This window comes from Homo sapiens, chromosome 10 (assembly GCF_000001405.40).
Source record: "Homo sapiens chromosome 10, GRCh38.p14 Primary Assembly".
Lineage (NCBI taxonomy): Eukaryota > Metazoa > Chordata > Mammalia > Primates > Hominidae > Homo > Homo sapiens.
Window position 1 is genome coordinate 59,318,464 of NC_000010.11, and position 22,100 is coordinate 59,340,563.

Genomic DNA, 22,100 nt, shown 5'->3' on the forward strand with positions numbered 1-22,100 from the left:
ATCTAGAGTGTTGAGCATTTTCAATGTTAGAGCCAGAAGAAGCTCCAGAAATCATTTGACCCAAATTCCTTATGTTAGAGGAGGGGGCCCAGAAATTTGAGTGAAATGACCATGGTCACCTGAGAGATGTGAGATAAGACCCTGGATCTCTTCATTTGAATGTTCTTTCCTTCCACCAGGTTGTTTCTGCATCCACGGAGGGAGGCAGTGGGTGTGGGCAGTGAAGGAGAGCCCTCCTTTCCAGCTCCCTTTCTATGTGGGATACTCAACATGAACTAGGTCAATACCCACTCATTATCCAACCGTATACCAGGGAGTCTCAAAGCACTGTGAAGGCAAGCTGTTTTTTATCTCTACCTCATCCCTGCTCCCCTTTTAAAAGAAACAAAACAAAACCCTAGGAGCACACTAATGAGGAAGGAGAAGAAGATCCTAGAAATATGCAGAGATCAGGTACAGTCCAAGAAGGGAGATATGTCTTTTGTATTATTAATACTAAAAATCTCAGTGCTCATTCTCTTATTCATTCTGTCTCTGTTTAGCAGAACTCATTAAGACTCTGCTTACGTCTATGAAAAACATTTAAGTAAGAAACAATTAGCTATTCAAACACACACACACACACACACACACACACACACACACACACACACACATTGTCTATCTCAAAAACAAAAGATGAAAGGATTTATCCCCCATAGAAAAGTTGCTGCCAACAAAACTTCCTCTTTCTATAAAGCAACAAAGCCCACAGCTTTCTCTTTCATCTGGAATGTCAAAAAATAGTGGAGGCCATCCAAGGCCATTATCCTTGCTAAGGATCTTCAACCTCCTGCAACATGGGAATCTGGATGAAGAGGCCAATGAACTGGAACTTACAATGTAACCACCAACCTAATTAACAGTAAGACAATGCTATAGAATAACTCCTGTTTACACAGACAAGGTCTTTAACAACATTAAAGGTTTAATGTCGTCATAAATTTTAATACAATATTTTAAATATAAGTGAGTTAATCATTCTCAAAAGTAAATTTACTTAGCTTAGTAAGAATTCCCCAACTGCATTAATATTCTCTTACATTCATAAATTTCCCTTTGTCATATCTGAGGGTTTACAGGATTGGCAGCGGCTTTAGCTTTAAAAATCAGTCAAACTAATGCATATTCATTAAGTGGCAACTCCATACAGATTGATGGTACTAATCTTGGTTCTATTAGTAAGGGAAGAGAGAACTTGAGCAAATCACAGCCTCACTGGGTGTCAAAGAAGAAAAAGATAGTTGTATTAAATGATTACTAAAGTTTCTTCCAGCTCTAACTAACTGCAGTTCTTTAATTTTACATGTTTTGAAAATACCAGGTATTGAGGAGTATGCAGAGTAGTATAATAACCCAACCCTTCCACTCATGCAATGGAAGTCCATATTAAAATGAAAACATGTCATCTGGGGAAAAGATGGCATTAAGACAATATCAGCCATCACCATATGATAAGACATTTTCATCCAGGAGGACTTAGCTCCAGGGAGCTACAGAGTCCCCAGGAGCAGCAGTTGCCAGGAAGAAAAGGATTGAAGCAGGCATTATAAATCAAATGCCTATAGAAGCTTGGCAAAGAGCATAAATAAATGAGGAGAGCTGGGTAGGAATTGTGAAAAAAATTGAAATCTACTCCTCAGCTCCAGCTAGTTGTTGCCTTGGAGGAATGTAGGCCCTGGGTTATCCCTCCTTTAGACTCTTCCAAAGAAAGCCAAAAATCTGTAAAAACTCTTGATTTTAAAATGTTGATTCAAAATAGTTTAACTTTGTACAAGCCAAATATGTCTCCACACCAGATACACCTGTAGGACACCAAATTTGAGGCCTCTAATGTGTGGCACTGTAAGGCCAAGGAATATAATATAGGGAAGGGTGGGGCATGGCAAATGGGAGGAAGGGTGCAGTGAAAGAAGATGGAAGTGGCTTTAACTGTATCTGAGGTTGGCTCTGTTAAGGGAAATCAGAAGAGCAAGCCAGCTTGGAAGTAGAAAGACATTAGGACAAGGGTTCTGTTAAAAGAAAATCTTTAGCTGAATTAAATTTAAAAGGGTTTAATTGAGCAAAGAACAATTCGTGAATCAGGCAGCCTTCCCAGACAGAGTAGGCTCAGAGACTCCAGCACAGCCACATGGTGGAAGAAGAGTTATGGACAGAAAAAGGAAAATGACATACAGAAAATAGAAGTGAGGTGCAGAAACAGCCGGATTCGTTACAGCTCGGCGTTTGCCTTATTTGAACATGGTTTGAACAGCTGGCCACCTTTGGCCACAACTTGGTAATTGGCACAAAAGTAGGCTACAGTTTGTATACAACTCCATTTAGGTTATAGTTCACAATGTACAGAGAAACCTTTAGGCTGAACTTAAAATATGTAATGAGGCAGCTTTAGGCCAACCTTGATTTAACAGTTCTGAATCTTCTCTGGAGTCATGTGTTTTCGAACTTGGAGGTAGAAAGACATTAGGACAGGGTTTCTAAATATTTTCTGGGGTTATATGTGCCATATGAGAGTCTGATACATGTTTTAGAGATTTTCACTAGAAAAAAATAAACATACATGTAGTGGACAGAATAATAGCTCCCCAAAGATGTCCATGTCTTCATCATTGTCGCTCCTCTGCCACCTTACCTTATGTGACAAAAAGGACTGTGAAAATGTAATTAAGGACCTCGAGATAGGGAAATTATCTGAGTGAGCCCAATCTATTCACATGAATCCTTAAAATCAAAAAATGTTTCCCAGCCATGATCAGAGGGAGATGTGACTACGGAAGAATGATCAGAGAGATGCAATGTTGGTGGCTTGAAAATGGAGGAAGGGACCATAAGCCATGGAATGTGGGCAGCCTCTGGAAACTGGAAAAGGTATGGAAATGGATAGATTCTTCCCTAGAGCCTCTAGAAAGGAATGGAGCCCTGCCAACACCTTTTTTTTTTTTTTTTTTTTTTTTTTTGGCCCAGGGAGACATATGTAGGACTTCTATCCTACAGAACTATGAGATAATAAATTTGTGTTTAAAGCCACAAGTTTGTGGTCAGTTATTACAGTAGCAATAATAGAGTATATATACACAGAAACTTGGGCAAACACATTCATAGACCTTCCTGAGTCTCATCCTCATAAATACATAAAGGCTCCTTGTGCTCAAAAGAGCCCAATATACAACATGAGGACTCTGAGAGCTGTAGGTATGAAATTATTTGGCATTCGTGAAAAGATCAATGCCCATCTCATGACCTCAATCCGCTCCAAAATCTCACCTCTACAAACATGGATTCATTTTCTGAAGACTGACTACTCCTTCGAGTCTCACCAAAATGATGTGTGACCCCAAGGAGTAAGGTGGCCTCTTGCTACAGAGAGATCTTTCTTCCTTTTCTTACAGTGTTCATTATATTAATAGCATTCTCCCCAGCCCACTGCCCCAAAGAAGGTGGTATTTTACAACTGCTGAGACTTAGCCTGGCTTATTCTTTCACTCTGAACCAGACCTAGGTCTGGAGTGTCCCATTACAGTATCATGTCTCTATCAAGATTCTATTTGGCATGATATGTCCAAACCTGGCCAGACGCCTGCTTAAAACAGAAGAGGAAGGTTATCAGGAATGTGAGCTACCTGATTCAAAGTTGTTTTTAGCCTCGGATCTCATTTCACTAGTTCATCAAATTTCACAATCCCTGTAATATTTTGAGATGGATTTTTTTAAAGTTCCATTAGAATGTCCCTTGGTGATGTCACCATGGTTGTGATAAATAACTGTAGTTTAAAGGTTACTTAACTAAGAGTACTAGACATAACTGCCCTCACAGCACTCCTGATATGTGACTTATCACCAGATCCTGCGATTGCTGACAGCGGTGCACAGAACAGTCTGGAATGTTGCTAGGTCAGAAAGCTCAATTCTGTGAAAGTGGGACATGAAAGATGGGAGATGGGGAGGCGAAAAAGACAACAAGGTATTTAGGATCCTATGAAGGTTTGCTAAGAGGCAGAGGAAGAGAAATACAAAATGGGATACACAATGGTTTTAAGTTTACTGAACATCAAGCATCTTTGAGAAGGTTAATTGCTAACGCCATTTTCCCCTGTTGGTCTCTGTTAAATATCTACCCCTACAGGACCACCATACATTCCATACACAAGCATGAATGACTTTTTTTTGGTTTTTATTTGTTTTGTTTTGCTTTTATATTATTTTGAAATATGCATGGGAATAATAGTTGACTTTCTTCTTTCTGAGAGAGACAGTCATCAGGCTGGTGGGCCACTGACTAAATTGATTCCAGTAGCCAAAAAATAGCTTTCTTACAATAATACCTCAAAGAGGAGGGAGAATGTCCTGATTACTGGAGAAATTACAAGGCTGAATCCAACAGGTATTACCTGAGGTCAGGTAAGAGTAAACACATAAAAGAAGTCAGCTTGTGAAGAGGGTTATAAAAGGTGCCCATGAATCTGCCTGGATAGGGAAGCACCTTACCTTTGAGGTCCCCTCCAACCTTTTGAGGTTCTATTATTCTAAATTTAGTACATTGGATATTTAAAAGTACAACTGCATAGCACAGCCAATCTTCTCTGTAGTTGTTGATTTAGACTGTGCTGCCTTAGAAAAACAATTCTAAAGGTCAGGCTCAGAAGCACAGCCCTCCCTTTCCACTGAGTGAGGGCTATGATTACACTGTACACAAGATCCTACAAAGACAGCTGACACAACTAGCGGTTGAATTCTTTCTTCTGTTTATTTCCAGAAGAGACTTTCCATAGACAGCTGCAATGCCAGGCTCCCATCAGAATGTCATGCCAACCTTTCTGCAGGCTGCTTTCCACCCACATCCTTGCCCTGGATCCAGGGCTGTCTCCAGCAGGTCTAGCAGGCTAGAGAGGCCATCCTGGGGCTATGTCAGGGCTAAGGTCACTGGAAGACACTCGGGTCAGCACAGAATCTGCACCTGCCATGCTGCAATCAGACATTTGTGGGTTCAAATTCTGGCTCAGTCCTTTTCACTTGTGCAACATCAGGCAAGTGCCTTAATATGTTTCAGACTATGAGTACACAGCTTTACGAGAAAGTAGAGAAGGCTAAATGAGAGACTACGTAAAAATCAGTTGCTATGGTGCCTACATGGTCATCACAAATTTATCACTATCACAAAGGAAAATCTAATTCCCTCTAGCATAGAATAAAGAATAAGAATAGATGAAATCAGCATTCCTCTCCAAGGGCAGGACCTGTCTCCACTTCCCCCTGAGCCTTAAGGTAGATTATTTTCAAATGGAAGACAGAGAAAGTAGGTCATTTACATTTATCTTAAACTCACTCAGCGATTCCTCTTCTAGGCCCCTTTAAGCAGCTTTTCTGACTATAAGGAATGCCAGCAAAAGTCAGAAAGCCTTGCCTCTTGTGTGGGAGTGGCAAGCACACAGCATTTCTGAGAAAGGAACCACAAGCACAGAATAGCTTCTGATAACAAAGGGCCCACCTTGGTTGAAGTCGCACTGTTTCTTGGCACTTGAAGGCATTGTTTTGTGGACTCTCATGAGCTGGTGTTCCTGCTCTCACCTGACACTCTGACTGGCTGGATACCACATGCTCTGTCTCCTGCAAGAAGAAAGAGCAAAAGTAGATGAGCTGTCAACAGCAATCAGTTCCATAGCATTATTATGCTGGAAGTGGGTCTCGGGGCAGGGAAGCAGCAATGCATAACACATTCTGCTGATTGTAGTGTGGGAAGGGAGCCAATTCACTGGTCCAAAATTTTAAAAGCTTCTATCAGTCAGTTGCTGCAAGATTACAGAATAAAGACAAAAATCATAATAATAAATCTTATGTCCAAAAGATATGGTATAGCCATATAACAAGAATTTTACAGACATTAAAAATGATGTCATGGAAGAATATTGGATGAATAGATACATCTGAAAAGATAATTCATAGAAGAATATTTATACTATAGGCTTATTTATGCAAGAATAAACATATGTATGAATGTTCACACATACTCACACACACACACACACACCCCACACACATGAGATTGGAATAAGTTGAACCAAAATCTTAACTGTGACTAATTCTGAGACATCATGTTTATTTATTTTTGGGAGCCCATATATATTTTCTAAGTTTTCTACAATAAACATTATTTCTATAATAAAAGAAAAATTTAAGTTCATCTAAAAACTAAAGAACAAATCATTTTTATGAATTCCAGATCTCAAGAGTCCTTGATATCTCTCCCCTCATCCTGCCACCACCCCCTCATACACACACACTATTGCCATTGGCCACATTGCATCTAAAGAAACCACAATGTGGGTTATCCATGATGCAATTGCTCATTAACTTAGAAAAACTCCAGAGTGCTAAACACTCTACAGAATAAACACAATAAACACACCAAAACTAAAACTAATCTGGATTCAACACAAAGACATGCATACATAGCAAAAATAAAAGATTTATATATATCCAACAGTTCCACTACTATCATCTTTGAGCCATGTCAAACCTCTAATTGAAAAACTTTCTTTAGAATAAAATAGCCCTTCTTTAACCTAATAAATGAGATACTAAAACAAAAATCTGCGAGAAATTCAGTAGCTCCAGGTGGCTACCATCATACAGGCAAATTATTCAAGCAATGCAGTGAATTTGGGTCTTCTGCTGCAATATATTATGGTCACAATAGAGACCCAGCTCCTCTATTAAGGGTGTGGGTTGAAGTCAGTACAAGTGTCAATGTGTCAGGTGTCTTAGAAATCATGTTTCCAGCACACTAGAAAAACATGGTGAGGCTTTTTGCCAAGAAGTCATCATCACAAGCCTCTACAACAAAATCATATGAATGCCTTCATACAAAAGGGGTAAAATGGGAACAGCTGGGCAGAGCTGTGGGAAAGAAAATAATTAGCCCTATCAAGATCCTCTCTTTAATTCTTTGAAGCCTCCAGCTTCAGATAAGAAGACACTCCACATGAAAAGTTTCCATTAGTATGCACTAGTCCCCTAGACTTCGTAGTTGCTTGAGAAAAATTCTACAGCTACCAAAATACTGGTCAAACTCTCTCACACAATGGTTTTCACGTGAGACAGAATTCTGCTTGCTACTTGCTCAGTGTATGACCTTGGCCAAATTACATAAGTTATCTGGGCTCAGTTTCCTTTTCTGTAAAATGAGAATAATACCATCAATTCCACAAGTGCCTGCCAATTGGAGGCACACAGCAGATATGAACTACTACTGATAACAATATTGCTTTTATAAAAATTTTCTTAAAGCTCAATATTCTGAACCTAGTGCTCAGTTAATCCTTGCAGAATTAACCCAAATGAGTTCAGCAAAAGAAAACTTATTTTTGTGGTGGAATGCTTATTTCACATTTCTATACTAATAGCAATATTATTTTAAATATTATATTTAGAAGCCTCAATATATGTAGGCATTAAGAAATGGCCCCTCTGAACTCTAAAAGGTTTAAATCAAAAATGCCCATTTTATTAAAACCTTATCCTTTTAGGAAAGAGTACTGTTTGATTTTTTTTTTGAAAATAGTATTTTATCTAACTCTTTGAATCTTCAAAAGTTGAGAAGGGTTAGAGAGGCCAAACACTGTTGGATTCCCTTGGCCCTAGGATGTATCTTAGATATGAATAACAAGAACTTTAGAGAAAGTGCCTCCTTAATATGCTTAGATCAGAGATCTCAAAGGACTGCAAGAGAAGAACTCTTCTCTAAAATGGGAAGATAAGGAGTATTTGGACACAGCTGACTATCAAGTCCCTGATTCAAATGGGGAAAAGAGTGGCACTGTCACCTATGTTTCTTTTCCCCACCAAGAATTTCAAACCTCAAGATGGTATGGAGAATTGGGGAAGACTAAGTAAGGAGTCTGGTACAAATCATCCTGAATACTGATGAATGGAACAGGCTCTGATGTGATAGGTATGTGTGATTGTCATGACAGGCTGCCCTTCCCAATGCCAAAAGTTAGATCATGAAAGTTCTGATCTATAAGCCCCCCTCAGATCAGAAACCCAAGTACAGCCTTTCTTAGAAAACACCGAGTTTATTCTTCCTTCCAGAGATCCTTATGATCTTGGAAAATATTTCACTCATAAGAAAAGGAATAAAGATTTTTAGTTTAGTTCCTTCCACTCCATTATCTCCTTATGGAAGGATCACCTATGGGCAAATAGCCCCAGCAAAGCTCACATGGGAATCAATGAGCCTTCAGATGCTTCTAATTTCTAGGCTTTAAGTCTTCTAGCTGATACCCCAGACAGCCTGAAGCAGACACAGACCTCTCTAGTCTGCCCTAGGTGAGTTCCTGACCCTCAGAAACCATGAAAGATAATATATGATTATTGCAATTTTAAGTTTTGTGGTTATTTGTTATGCAACAATAGATAACTAAAACACATTACCTTTCCTGTATTCTAAGATATCATCAATTATAAACCATCATTGGTTTGATTACATAAGTCTTTTAGGAAAAAAATAATGCCACATTAAATGCATCCATCAATTTTAAGAAACGTTCAAAAATGAGAAAGGTGAAATTTTGAACAGATGTGTGCATTGGCATTAAGGAACGACAGAGCATGCCCAGGACAGCCTGGCATGTAACAACACAAGACGTCCCGACCCAAGTACCTTACAGGGAATAGGGGAGGAAAACCCAAGCCTTAGTTGACCAGCTTTAAAAAATAATTTCATGTTTTCTCTTAAAGAAAGAAGACAGAAGAAATGGGGATATCATCTTATTGAATTAATAGAACAGTAGCTTTCAAAGGTCTTGTGCTGCCAGCTGTCATTTATTCATAAAGTTATAAAGGAAAGAGTACAAAACAAGAATAGTAGTACTCAATCAAATGTATTTGCCTCTATAAGAGATTTAGCCAGATGCATGAGAAGCCAAGGCTTACTTCCTTGGTAAGCCCATTTCTCTGCTCCAGTTGGACTCCACCACCTGGTGAAGGTTAACTAGGGCTGCCAAAGAAAGTCCTTAGAGTAAATAACATATTTGTGAAAGATTGAGAGTTAACATTTTGTCCCCACCCCCCCACCAAAAAAGGTGACAACATCAAGAAAGGAAATAAATAACACATTTGATTACCTTTGCCCATTTAAGCTTCATCACTCTGTTTAGAATCGGCTGTAACATTCGGCTCAAAAATTGTAGAACATTAAAGTAGGGTATGTATTCTGAAATAAATAAGATATATTTTTACCTAAAAAAACCCCACTATTATATACCAAGCACTTTTATAGTTGAGAGGGTTATAGAGAAGTGAATAAGACATTCTTGCCCCCAAAGAACTTTAAAATCTACTGTTTGACACAGACTGAAGGGTAAGAGAGCAGATTCTAACTTTTTACTTCTGTGTTAATGTGTCTGTCAAATGGTCAGATCCAAACTGACCAAGGGGACTGAGGGAAGAAGCCAAAATCCTCTGCTCCATGCTTGGTCTTTCTGCCACCTGGCCAAGCGTAGCCCAGATGGGCACCTGGAAGAAAAGGCATCCCACATCTTTTCCTGTTCCCAGCCATCTTCATCTACCCTCCACCTCACCCCTAGTATGTCCCAAGTCCACCTCAGTGGGGTGATTTGTTGGTTCTCTGCCAAATGCAGGGACCATCAAATTTACTACATTCTGAGATAGTTCATAAGAAAGCTGTCCATGAAGCAAACATAATTTAGGCTATTTATCTCATCCAGGTACAGAGGCTAGGAGAGTGTGCATGATAACAAAAGGAAAGCTATTAACTCAAGAGGCTCAAAACTCAAACTTAGTTAAGGAAAAATTAGCTGCCCCTAAACCAGAATGGTGAAATATGATATTTTGTTCTCATTGCAATTTTAGTGAGTTCAGCTGACTCTTGTAGCACTTGAGATCATCTAGTTTTGATCAAATGGCATGGCCATTGCTTCAGGCCCTTCCAAGTTCCTTTATTTGTACAAATCCATGGCCATCAAGAAAAACAAAACAAAACAAAACAAAACAATATTCCATTCTAATCCCACCATTCTAATCCCAGATCTTGCCCATCTTCTCTGTCTGAAAGTCAGAAATGTATCTTTGGGCCTCAAGGATGTACACATCCTGTATATCTTCCCTCCAGGATGTGGTCAATCAAAACATCAAATGTTCATCTTCTCATACTTGAGGTTTTCTCTGTGTCCACTCTCCCCAAATTGATAAAACTTTATTTTCTTCAACTACTGGATTAAATTTTAAATTAAATGGTTCTGTAGCTTAATCACTCTATTGTTAATGCCTTGCATTTATGAGAGTATTTCCCAAAATCTCTAATTAAGACATGATTAATATATCTGATAGCACTATAATTTGGAAAATCTTATATTTTCAGTTCTTAAGGTGAACAAGAGAAAGTGTTGTAAATCTACCCTATCCTACATCACCCAAGAGTCCCTTTTTTCTTAACCTTCACATATCTGTGAAAGTGACTTGATGTCCTTCTGAATAATTGGGGAACTTTAAAGATGTTTATACCCGGATAAAAGAAGCTATTGGACTATTACATTCATGTCGTAACTAGGGTAAAGAGCGTCCTGTACGAGTTGATTTAAATTTCCTTTCAAAAATGTGTGTCTATTATTTAAAATTTTCTGGCCCTTTAAGAAATAGGGAACCAAGAGAGCAGTTTCTTCAGATCTATTTTTAAAACATTTCTGGCCATCTTACTCATTATTTCAACAAAGAAATAAAATAAATCATGGGAAAACGCAGGCATAGGCTCAAAATCCACATATATCCATGAAGTAGGATGTCCTCTGATTCCATTTTTTTTTCTTTTTTTCTTTCTTTCTGGTTTTTTTTTTTTTTTTTTTTTTTTTTTTTTTTTTTGAGACAGAATCTTGCTCTGTCACTCAGGCTGGAGCGCAATGATACGATCTCGACTCACTGCAAATTCTGCGTCCCAGGTTCAAGCGATTCTCCTGCCTCAGCCTCCTGAATAGCTGGGATTACAGGTCCCACCACCATGCCCAGCTAATTTTTGTATTTTTAGTAGAGATGAATTTTCACCAGGTTGGCCAGTCTGGTCTGGAACTCCTGACCTCAGGTGATCCACCTGCCTTGGCCCCCAAAATGCTGAGATTACAGTCGTAAGCAACTGCGCCTGGACTGATTCTATTTTTTTAAGCTGTAATATGTATTACCCAGTTTACTGCTTTGTTGTAAGACTTTCTAGTAGAAAACAGACATTCAATTATGCTGTCTATCATATCATATATATTTTCCAAATCTAATAACATTCACTGAGCGCTTGCTCTGTAGCAGGTACTAAACTAGGCACCTTCTATGTACATTTTCTCATTTACTAGGAGGTAGGTTTTAGTCCCCCAGTTTTCCCCAGTGAGAAAAATGAAGTGAAGAAAAGGCAGATGACTTACTGAGGCCAGAAAGATTGCCTTTTATACATGAGGTGCCTTTCTGAAGACCTTGCAGAGTCTGACTGACATTTGTGTATTTTAAGACTATTCTCATGACAGCGGATATTGAGTATTTCCATTCACCAGCTAGTGTGGAAATATTTGAATAAAATCAATACAGCTTATAATTCAATAGGCCCAAACAGCTTTGATATACAGTTCTTGATCGATTTGGGAGGAATTGCATTAATTCGAGTTGTTTGCCTTAAAAGTGATTTAATACTTTATATTCAATACTTAATTAAAAATTGTATAAAATAGGACCACACCAGATCACATGACTGAGCTAGAGCACCCAGTTCCTAACTCCAGTCTCCTAAACCCAAACCCAGAGTTCTTTCCATTATATATTCTAACCACCCACATTTACTATAGAACTGAGAAATATCCCATGCAAGTCAATGTGAATACAGTCACAGTTAAAATGTAACAGCTGGGGTGGGTGGTATTCAAATGTAAAATCAATGGAGTATACACAAGAGTAAAAAAGAGAGTCATGAGGCATGCGAGTTTTCACTAGTATTTGTTTTTTCTCCTCTCTAGCATGTGGGTTAAAGGACTCAGGGACTCTGAAGTGAGGGAGATTCATAAAAACCTAGTCTTCTCTCTAATGAGCTAGAGATTGGAGGCAGGGAGGCAGGATTTACCAGTTGTGAGATGTAAGATAGCTGCCTTGAGTATTTTGACAATCAGCTAACCAAAATCTAGCTACCCCTCTCTAGGAATCCTTGCATTTCTCCTGCCCCACTGAGGAGTTAGGCCTTGCACAGGTCTCCAACTCTCCAATTGCAACACATTGCTAAGACTACAGAAGGCTCCAAACAGCAAAAAGCATGAAGGAAAGCAAAAGGCAAATAGTTTCTGATTATGATCACATTGCTTCACTCCCTCATAGCACTAGTATCTGTAACTACCATGCCTGAGCCCCGAAATACACCTACCCTGACCTTAGAACCAGCCTGATCCCTCACAGCTAATGAGATGTCCTAGACTTGACCACTGTAACTCCTAGGATTCACAAACTGGTCATCTCTGCAGCTTTATGGGATTCTTGGTTTTCTGATGACATACATTCATCATTCAAATATTTGGTCCCTATCAGGGGCTACATTCTGTGCTCTTCCTAGTTCCTGCCCTCAGGGAGCTCACAGTCAAGTTAGCAGTGGCAATGGTGGTGGGGGATGGAAGAGGTGGCAAGACACAAACTATAAACAGGCAATTGAAGTATAGTATGATCAATGCTACAATAGGATAAGGACAAAGTGTGTGATGCTTTGAGAACATATAGGAATGACACCAAGCCTAGTTCTTGAGAGAAGTATCACTGAAGTGGCCTAAAGGATAAATGAACATCAACTGGAGGAAACAGCATGAGGCGGAGGCAGAATGTATCAAGGCAAACATGTGTAAGTGAGAGCATGGAATGTTCAAGGAACTCCGGATGGGTGACTATTTTTAGAGTGAGAGTCAAAGGTGGGGATGGTGAACAACCAGGTAGGTGAGGGACAGGCAGAAGCCAGATCATGTGAAACCTCTAAGTATGAAGACCTACTAGTCTTGAAGAGTTTGGGCTTTATTCCATTGGCAATGGCAAGCCACTGAATATTATAAGTAAGGCATGTTCAGATTTGCACTGGAATAAATCTTCTTGGGCTTGTGTGGCAAATGGATTAGAAGGTGAAGAGGAGGAATCAAAGAAGGAAGGATAGTTAGAAAGGTAGAGCATCCCAAGCAAGAGATGACTGTCACTTGGATGACAGAGGTGGTAGGCAGTATGGAGAATAACAAATTAGCTAAAAAGATATTAAAGAGATAGAAAAAATAGACCTGGTGATTGACAGGATGTGGTTGAATGAAAAAGAAGGACAGATGGTGATGCCAAATCTCTAAGTGGGAAAATGTGGTGAAAGCTATTGCTGTTCCATGAGATGGACACAGGAAGAGAAACAGTGTTCATGGAGAGTTGGGTATGAAGGACCCATGCAGCATCTAAGTAGGCAATGATAAATAGAGGAGCTGGAATCTTAGAGACAGACTAGGGCTGGCAATACATATTTGAGAATGATCAGGAGGGTGACCAAAACCACAAGTGAGGTAACACAATTCAGAGTAGGCAGAGAGGGAAGAGAAAACTTGGGAGAAAACCCTGAGGAATGCCAATATTTACAGCACTGATGGTATATTGTTAAATCAAAACTCAAGCTGCAAAATAATGTATATATAGTAAGAACCCACAGAGAGAGGTGGAGGGGTAGATCAATATGTTTGTATATATATGTGTGTGTGTGTGTGTATTATTACTGTGCAGTTATGGTTTTTTTATGTGGGATATGTTAATTTATACATTACTTAATTGCTTGAATTGTTTAATGAGTATGTGTTGCTTTTATAATCTAAAATAAGAATATTTCATTTTAAAACATTTAAGGGACAGGCAGATGGAAAGGATACTGCAGAGAAGACCAAGAAAGAGAAATAGGAAGAAAATGCAGAGTGGGTTGTCATGGAATCTTCAAGAAGGAAGCTCATTGCCTGACCCACTTGTTTCATAATGCAATGAAATGCTAAAGAATTTTAACTCCATAAGGAAAATCAGGGCAAGACAATAAAAGAAACATTAAATATTAGTAAAAGTACACTCAATAGTATGACTTCTGTCTTGTTCTTTAAAATAGGTGCCTCTGTTCCTTATGTTCTACTTGTGTTAAACTTTAATAAGGGAATACAATTTTCAAAAGCAAGCAATCAAAAATCATGGTTAAATGGAACAACTGGAGCAGTGAGTCAGCACCTATGAATATGGCACCACAAGCTTAAGCCTTTCTGCTAGAACTTATTCCTATGCACAGAGCAGAGGTATGACAAGAAAGCCCCTTTGTCAAGTCTGTCCTCACTTCTCAGCCACATGGCCTGTTAGGTCTAGTATAGAAGCAAGTGAATTATTTTGGCTTCAAAGGGTTACTATGATATTAAAAATAGGAAATGCTAATTTCTGGGGAGTATTTTGTTATTGTTGTCACTTATTTATTTATTTATTTATTTATTCATTTATTGGTAAGAGACAAGGTCTTGCTATGTTGCCTAGGCTGGACTCTCCAACTTCTGGGCACAAGTGATCCTCCTCCTTCAGCCTCCAAAACAGCCGGGACTACAGGCATACGTTACCATGCCAGGCTTAATTTCTGTGATTTTAATATGAATTAAGAAAATATGTATATTTTAAATCATCTCCCTCTGAGCTGAGGTTTAAGATCCCTTAAATACCTCTTACTTGCACTTTGAGAGGCCGAGGCATGCAGATCACCTGAGTTCAGGAGTTTGAGACCAGCCTGGCCAACATGGTGAAACCCCGTCTCTACTAAAAATACAAAAAATTAGCCGGGCACGGTGGCACATGCCAGTAGTCCCAGCTACTCAGGAGGCTGAGGCAGGAGAGTTGCTTGAACCTGTGAGAGGGAGTTTGCAGTGAGCCAAAATCACTCCACTGCACTCCAGCCTGGGTGACAGAGCAAGATTCCATCTCAAAAAAATTAAATAAATAAAAATAAGTTTTAAAATCCTTTTACTTAAAAGCCAGCACTACCTTCCTGGGAAAAGCCCACCTTTTATTCCTTTTTTGGGGGCTGAGAAGGCAAACAGCCTGTTGATACGGAATCTCTACCATGTTATTTTCTGAAATTATTAAAGTATGTCTGTTATTCTTTGCTTTCAAATATCCCTCAGTGTTTCATTTCTCAAGCTCCCTTGTTTGTTTTATTTAGTTTAGCAAGAATCAAATTATTTTTCTATTTCCAAAGCAGTCATGAGAAAAATCCAAATTTACCATCACAAATATTACTTCAGCTACTAAAGCTGCTGCACTAATGCCACAGCTTTCAACACTAGGCTCTCCTTATATTCTTGTATCAACAAGGGACGTCTCTGCCTTTCCTTCTGCTGAACTAGTCATTGAGGATTTTAGAGCAAGTCCAACTGTTCTGACAAAATGTGGAACAGTTAACAAAGGAGAATCATGTCATTCCAGCATTCCCCTTTTAAAGACATTGTGGAAGCATCAGAGCTCTCCCATCTTACAATGAATGCATGGTTCTGTATTTTGTTTTGTTTTTTTTCTTTTGAGAGAGACAAGAGATGGCAGGGGAAATGAGAAAGGAAAATAGTATTGTATCAGAAACCAGAAATGCTGACATGGATTTCACCTTCATGCAAACCAATTTAAGAAACTTTTAAAAACTGGGATAAAAATAAGGAGGAAATGGAATATTATGTATGGTGCTATCTCAAACTAAAAACAAATTAACAACTATAATAAAGCAAATCCTGACAAGAAAATTATTCTAAGATATCTAAAGAGAATAGACATTTTGAAAATAGTGATATCTTGTGAATGCCTAGGACTCACTTGCATGTTAATGGTAATTCAAATATGTCAAAACTTACTGGGTATATACCCAAAGGATTATAAATCATGCTGCTATAAAGACACATGCACACGTATGTTTATTGCAGCACTATTCATAATAGCAAAGACTTGGAACCAAGCCAAATGTCCAACAATGATAGACTGGATTAAGAAAACGTGCCACATATACACCATGGAATACTGTGCAGCCATAAAAAAGGATGAGTTCATGTCCTTTGTAGGGACATGGATGAAGCTGGAAACCATCATTCTCAGCAAACTATCGCAAGGACAAAAAAACCAAACACTGCATGTTCTTACTCATAGGTGGGAATTGAACAATGAGAACACATGGACACAGGAAGGGGAACATCACACACCGGGGCCTGTTGTGGGGTGGGGGGAGGGATAGCATTAGGAGATATACCTAATGTTAAATGACGAGTTAACAGGTGCAGCACACCAACATGGCACATGTATATATATGTAACTAACCTGCACGTTGGGCACATGTACCCTAAAACTTAAAGTATAATAATAATTTAAAAAAGACTTTAATGTTAGATAAACAGTAATACTCCAGTATACCTTCAGTAATACCCAAGGTGCTAGATTTGGGGAATGAGGTTCCACAAAGGTGCAAAATATTAGCTCCTCTTAAAAGGTCTCTAGCTACAATGTTAGCATAAAGCAGGACAAACTCTACAGTGGCCAACTTTCATTTTATCAAAGGCTGCTCAAATAGCCTCTATGTCTAATTTCCCAACTAACAGTCATTAGGGCTGTTTATTGCTAAGTCTTTAATCAGACTCTTCAGCCACAAGTAGAATATATTCCCCCAGAGGTGATCTCCCTTTAGAAAGCATGCTTCCTTCTATGCAATAAGATCAGACAATACATTCAGACTGAATTGAATATTCTACGTAAAGGTAACACATGGCAAGTTTTTATGTGGACTTGGGAAAAGCCTAAGGACCTACGAGACCCAAATATTAATTTTAGCACCATTCACTTTGAGGAAGTCTTTAATTTGATACATAGCAATTATCTGGAATAAAGGAAAAGCTTAATACCTAGAACATTGAACCCAAAGGCATTTGCAGCTTGGCCAATAGATACCCCATGTCTCTAACCCAAAGGCTACCCCACCCCCTACCAGCGCCACTCCTCAAACTAATTTCCATACAGCTTCAAGATACAGGAAATCCCTGGAGGCAGACAAAATTTCACCAGGTGAATGATGTTGAGAATAACTGAAGAAAGGACCAGTCCCTAACAACAGATGCAGTAACATCACTTCCCTAAGTTCAAGTGTCTATCAGCTTTCTATGGCCTACATTGTGTTTGTTTACCTGGGGTCAAGTCCACAGGGGATAGGAATAGCAGGAATGCTCTGCAGGGGAAGGTAAGCCCAATGCAATAAAAGCTCCATGAAGGCCACTCTCTCATAGGACTCATTCTCCGTAATCTCACATACAGAGACTCAATAAATATTTTTGAATGAGTTATTAGCATAAATCATTAACATGACATAGTATCCTGGGACATCAAATTTAAGTGATGATTTAGAGAGAAAAGCTTTTTTGAATCAAAGCAGATATTTTAATAAACTACAGCATGCTCATGACTTCTTCAGATGACAAGCATATACCAGTCAGGGTTCTTAGCTTCAAACAATAGAAACAAACTCTAAGTAACTTAACCAAAGGATGAATTTATTAAGAAGCTTACAGAATAACTTAAATGGTTGGAAAACCAGACAAGGGACTACTAGGCAAAGAGCACAGTAAAATTGTGCTCAAAAATAATCCAACATGGACTCTTCTGCCACCCTAATGCAGACTCTTCTGCATTCTAAATCTTCAATGACACTGACCCTAATATTATTGTTTTTTATTTTTTAAGAAAAACATAATGCTGCTTATCAGCTTCTATACAGCATTGTTTATAAGGAGCATCCTGACTTCAGTGATATTAAAGTGTTGGAAATATGTGAATCTTAGGATGGATGAAAAGAGGTCAATTCTGCAGTGTGTAATGTTCACACCATGCACTCAACAATGGGCACCACCACTATGACCACTGCTCACGGCTCAGATCTCATTTCTTGCTGCATTCACTTCCACTCCTAGAGCTGACTTCTTGGCTTCTTCTCTCAAGCCAAGATTAGGGTGTGTACTTCTGACTGGTATCACCCCAGTTGTGCCCATGTCCTAGCTGAAAGGGAGGCTGGAAAAACAAATAGTGGCCTTTTCAGCTTTTATAGTGAACAAAGCATTCTGCTTTTCTCCCTCCAATGGGAAATTCTCCAAGTGCAAGAACAGAGTTCAGATGCTTGGCAGCCAAAATAGAATGACAAATATCTTCTATAGGGAGATTTCAAAGAAACTCCCTCTTATGGTAAAAGTTCAGTCTCCTCAGCTGTTAGAACTTAGAAATAGAAAAACGTTTGCAAAGCACCAGAATAAGAAAACTCATTAGGATGGAATCCAAGGCCCTTACAATCCAGCCTCTACAAACTTCCTGTCTATCTTCCATCACCCCATCCTTTCCACATCCTACAGTTCACGGATGACAAATTAGGTGGCAGCTCTTGAGTTCCACTATCACTCATGTCTTCACTCACAGTGTGTTCCCTCAGCTTAGAAAACCTCCCTCCTCCTGGAATTTTCTCTACTTAAATAACTCCCATTTTACTACTTGAGCCAAAAATCATCTCTTGTGTGAACTTTTCCATATAGCCCTCTTTTTTGTGATCTTTTAGCACTTTATTTGTAATTCTATCATTGAAGAAAGAGGTCTCTACCCAATATCTGAACAAAAAACTGAATTCACTGCTTGCTAAATTAGCAAGGAAGAACTGTATTTTCAGAGGCATTCTCCCTGAGCAAAGCAGAGAGAGCTGATCTTCTATAGGGCTTGGAGACCCTTAGAGTGCAGGCACTGGCAGACTTCCAGAAGCTGGAATGTTTAGGCATTAGTTGACCTTTAGCTGCAGAAGTAAAGCTGGAGTGAGAATGTTGCTGACTGGCTGACTTGCCTGGGCATGTGCACTAGAGTTTAGCTGTTGCCAATTGTCTGGCTTTACAACTGTGTGTGGTGTTGGCTAGCTTTCAGAAGCAACTGACTGGCTAGCTTACAAAAGCACAAATGATTGCCAGAGCAAGTTGTTATTGACCCAGTTAAACAGGTACAAAACAATACATTCTGATGGTTACTGGTCACTTGTCACTGTGGCCACAGAACAATCAGTCTTTTCCAGACAGGATAGGAACTTTCCATTTTCTTTTTTTTCTTTTTCTTTTTTTTTTTTTTTTTTTTTTTTTTTTTGAGATAGAGTTTCATTCTTGTCACCCAGGCTAGAGTGCAATGGTATGATCTCTGCTCATTGCAACCTCCACCTCCCGGGTTCAAGCAATTCTCCTGCCTCGGCCTCCCGAGTAGCTGGGATTACAGGCACCTGCCACCATGCCTGTCTAATTTTTGTATTTTTAGTGGAGACAGAGTTTCACCATGTTGGCCCGCCTGGTCTCGAATTCCTGACCTCAGGTAATCCACCCACCTCAGCCTCCCAAAATGCTGGGATTACAGGCGTGAGACACCATGCCCAGCCTGAACTTTTCATTTTCATTCTCACTGTTGTCATAATGTATTAGGATACAATAACCATACTAACAGCTAACATTCTAACATTTATTGAGCTTTTACTATGTACTATGTATTACAGTAGATATTTTAAAAGGATTATCTCATTTAATCTTTCAAATAACCTAATAGGTGGGTCATATTATCCCTCATTTTTCAGATTGTTAACCTTAGATGCTTCACTGGGATGCAGGAATGAAAAAAATGACAACAGAGGCAGTGCTCTTGCCAGTGCATGCTAAGGACTCCACTGCCTGTTCCTCTCACTGTTTCCCCAGGACAGATAACATGCCTGTCCCAAGCCCAAACACCAGGGCTCATCTCTTTTTGCATCCACAACTACAGAAGTCCATGGCCTCTCAAGCAGAGTCACCCTCCAATGTCGGTTGTTAAAGGAATGAAGAAAGAGGGTCCTGAATCATTCTATTAGTTCAAAACCTGGACTGATGGTCAATAAACTCTGCATCTTGCCATCTAACTGTGCCAAAATTGATAATAAAACTAACATCCTGCACAAAGCGTCAACTACATTTATGATTTTGAGAAAGTCAGGCCGTAAGATCATATGTTCTACCTGGTTACCAGCCATGTTGTAGCTAATTCTCCATCTTCGATACAACTACTAAATCTAAATGACTAGTCATCAACCTGCCTCAGCTTCCCCAAGGTAGAAGTCCCCACTCCATACCATTGTGTAGTCACTGGATCCCAGTCATATTGCCCTATGCCCATATGTCTCTGCCTTGCCAGTCTACTTAGTGCCTCACATCCTCCTGGAACAGAATCCCATCAGTTCCTGCCAGTTCCCCTGGAGCAGCAAGGAGCCAGCCCACTCTAACTTCAGGAAGCCCCTTCTTGTATTAGTTTCCTAGGGTTACAGTGACAGATTACCATAATTTGTTGGCTTAAAAACAGCAGAACTTTATTCTCTCACAGTTGTGGAGGCCAGAAGTCCAAAATCAAGGTTTCAGCAGGGCCATGCTCTCTCCAAAGGCTCTGGGGGAAAATCCTTCCTTGCCTTTCCAGCTCCAGGTGACTGCTGGCACTCCTTGGCTTCTGGCATCATCACTCCAGCCTCCGCCCCCATCCTTACATGGCCTTATTCCCTGCATGTCTCTCTGTGTCTGCTCCTCTACTTGTAAGGACACCAGGCGTTGGCTTTAGGACTCACCCTAAATATTCAAGATGATCTCATCTGAATTCTTATGTTAATTATATCTGCAAAGACCCTATTGCTATTAAAGGTCACATTCTGAGGTTCCAAGTGGACACGAATTTGAAGGGGGACACTACTCAACCTACTTCTCCCTTCAACATACAAGAGGGAAAATATTCCCTATAGGGAGATTTCAAAGAAATTCCCTCTTATGGTAAAAGTTCAGTCTCCTCAGCTGTTAGAAGTAGAAATAGAAAAATGTTTGTGAAGTATCAGAATAAGAAAACTCATTAGGATGGAATCCAAGGCCCTTACAATCCAGCCCCTACAAACCTCCTGTCTAGCTTCCATTCTCCCATCCTTTCCACATCCAACAGTACATGGATGATAAATTAGGTGGCAGCTCTTGAATTCCACTATCACTCATGTCTTTACTCCCCTCAACTTACAAGAGGGAAAACAAAGGCTCCCTTAGGCACAGTCAACCCAGCATCACTGATGAAACACCACGTTACCAAACCTAATTTGGAAAATTGAGCAAAACTCACTGATAGTTTTGCCCCAAAAGGGATTGCTAGTGAAACTGATAGTTTGAGAAGTGAAAGGAAAGGCCAGCTCAGTGTGCATAGGGCAGGTTGTTTTCAAAATATAACAGAGGTCCCAGCATAGCATTAAAAAAGATGACTGATTAAAATCATCCATTCCAAAATAAGGAGGTAGAGGATTATTTTATGTGTGTGTGTGTTGAAGATAGGCTTTTTAGTCTTGTTTGCAATGGAAACATTTCCTTCTAAAGAACACAACACTAAAAGGCTCTGAGACAAATCACATTTAGCAATTAGTTCACAAGTAAGTAAGAGAAAGCCAAAATAAACCAACTTCGAAAGTATCTTAGTCAACAACAAAATGTGTTCACAGTTATGGCCTTGCAATCAGATGCTGTAATAAACCCTAGGTGTGTCATTTCTGAAATTTTAACCAAATAATGAACATTTCAATTACAGGAAAATAATGCTCAAGAATTGTTGCAGTTACTGAATTTTCTGATTAAAAAAAAATTTTTTTTAAAAAGAGTCTGCTAAGAGTTTTATTATTTTCTGAGTTAGAATATTATCTCCATTGCCCAGAGATTATAATCCTGTCTCCTCTAGTGCCAGTTCCCTGCTTCTCCCTCATTCTGATGTCTACCTTGAGCCCATCCCTATCTCAGCACAGAGTTGAGTACCTCTTGGTGGACTGTTTGCCTGGGCTCCTCACTCACCCCCAAATCCTGGAGACAGCAAGGCTGCATGGGCTAGAGTGTAGCTCACCAGATTCCTGCCTGGCACTTGGCCCAAGAATGACTCTAACACCCAGACCCTTGTTCCTTCGGACTCTCCATTACATCAAGAACCAA

General features: G+C 39.4%; 1 protein-coding gene and 1 long non-coding RNA gene across 24 annotated transcripts in view; one reads left to right on the forward strand and one right to left on the reverse strand.

The window, feature by feature from the left end:
* Positions 1 to 22,100, reverse strand: part of FAM13C (family with sequence similarity 13 member C) — a 117,053-nt gene that overhangs the window by 72,335 nt on the left and 22,618 nt on the right. For 18 of the 23 annotated variants that reach the window (XM_006717702.4, NM_001347845.1, XM_017015891.2 and 15 more), the window contains 1 exon segment: positions 5,525 to 5,643. In XM_006717702.4, coding sequence (XP_006717765.1) covers positions 5,525 to 5,643 — 119 coding nt within the window. 23 annotated transcript variants of the gene reach the window in all.
* Positions 3,805 to 14,139, forward strand: LOC102724778 (uncharacterized). Its single transcript, XR_428753.5, has 2 exons — positions 3,805 to 3,930; positions 13,930 to 14,139. It is a non-coding gene; the product is annotated as an uncharacterized LOC102724778 (long non-coding RNA).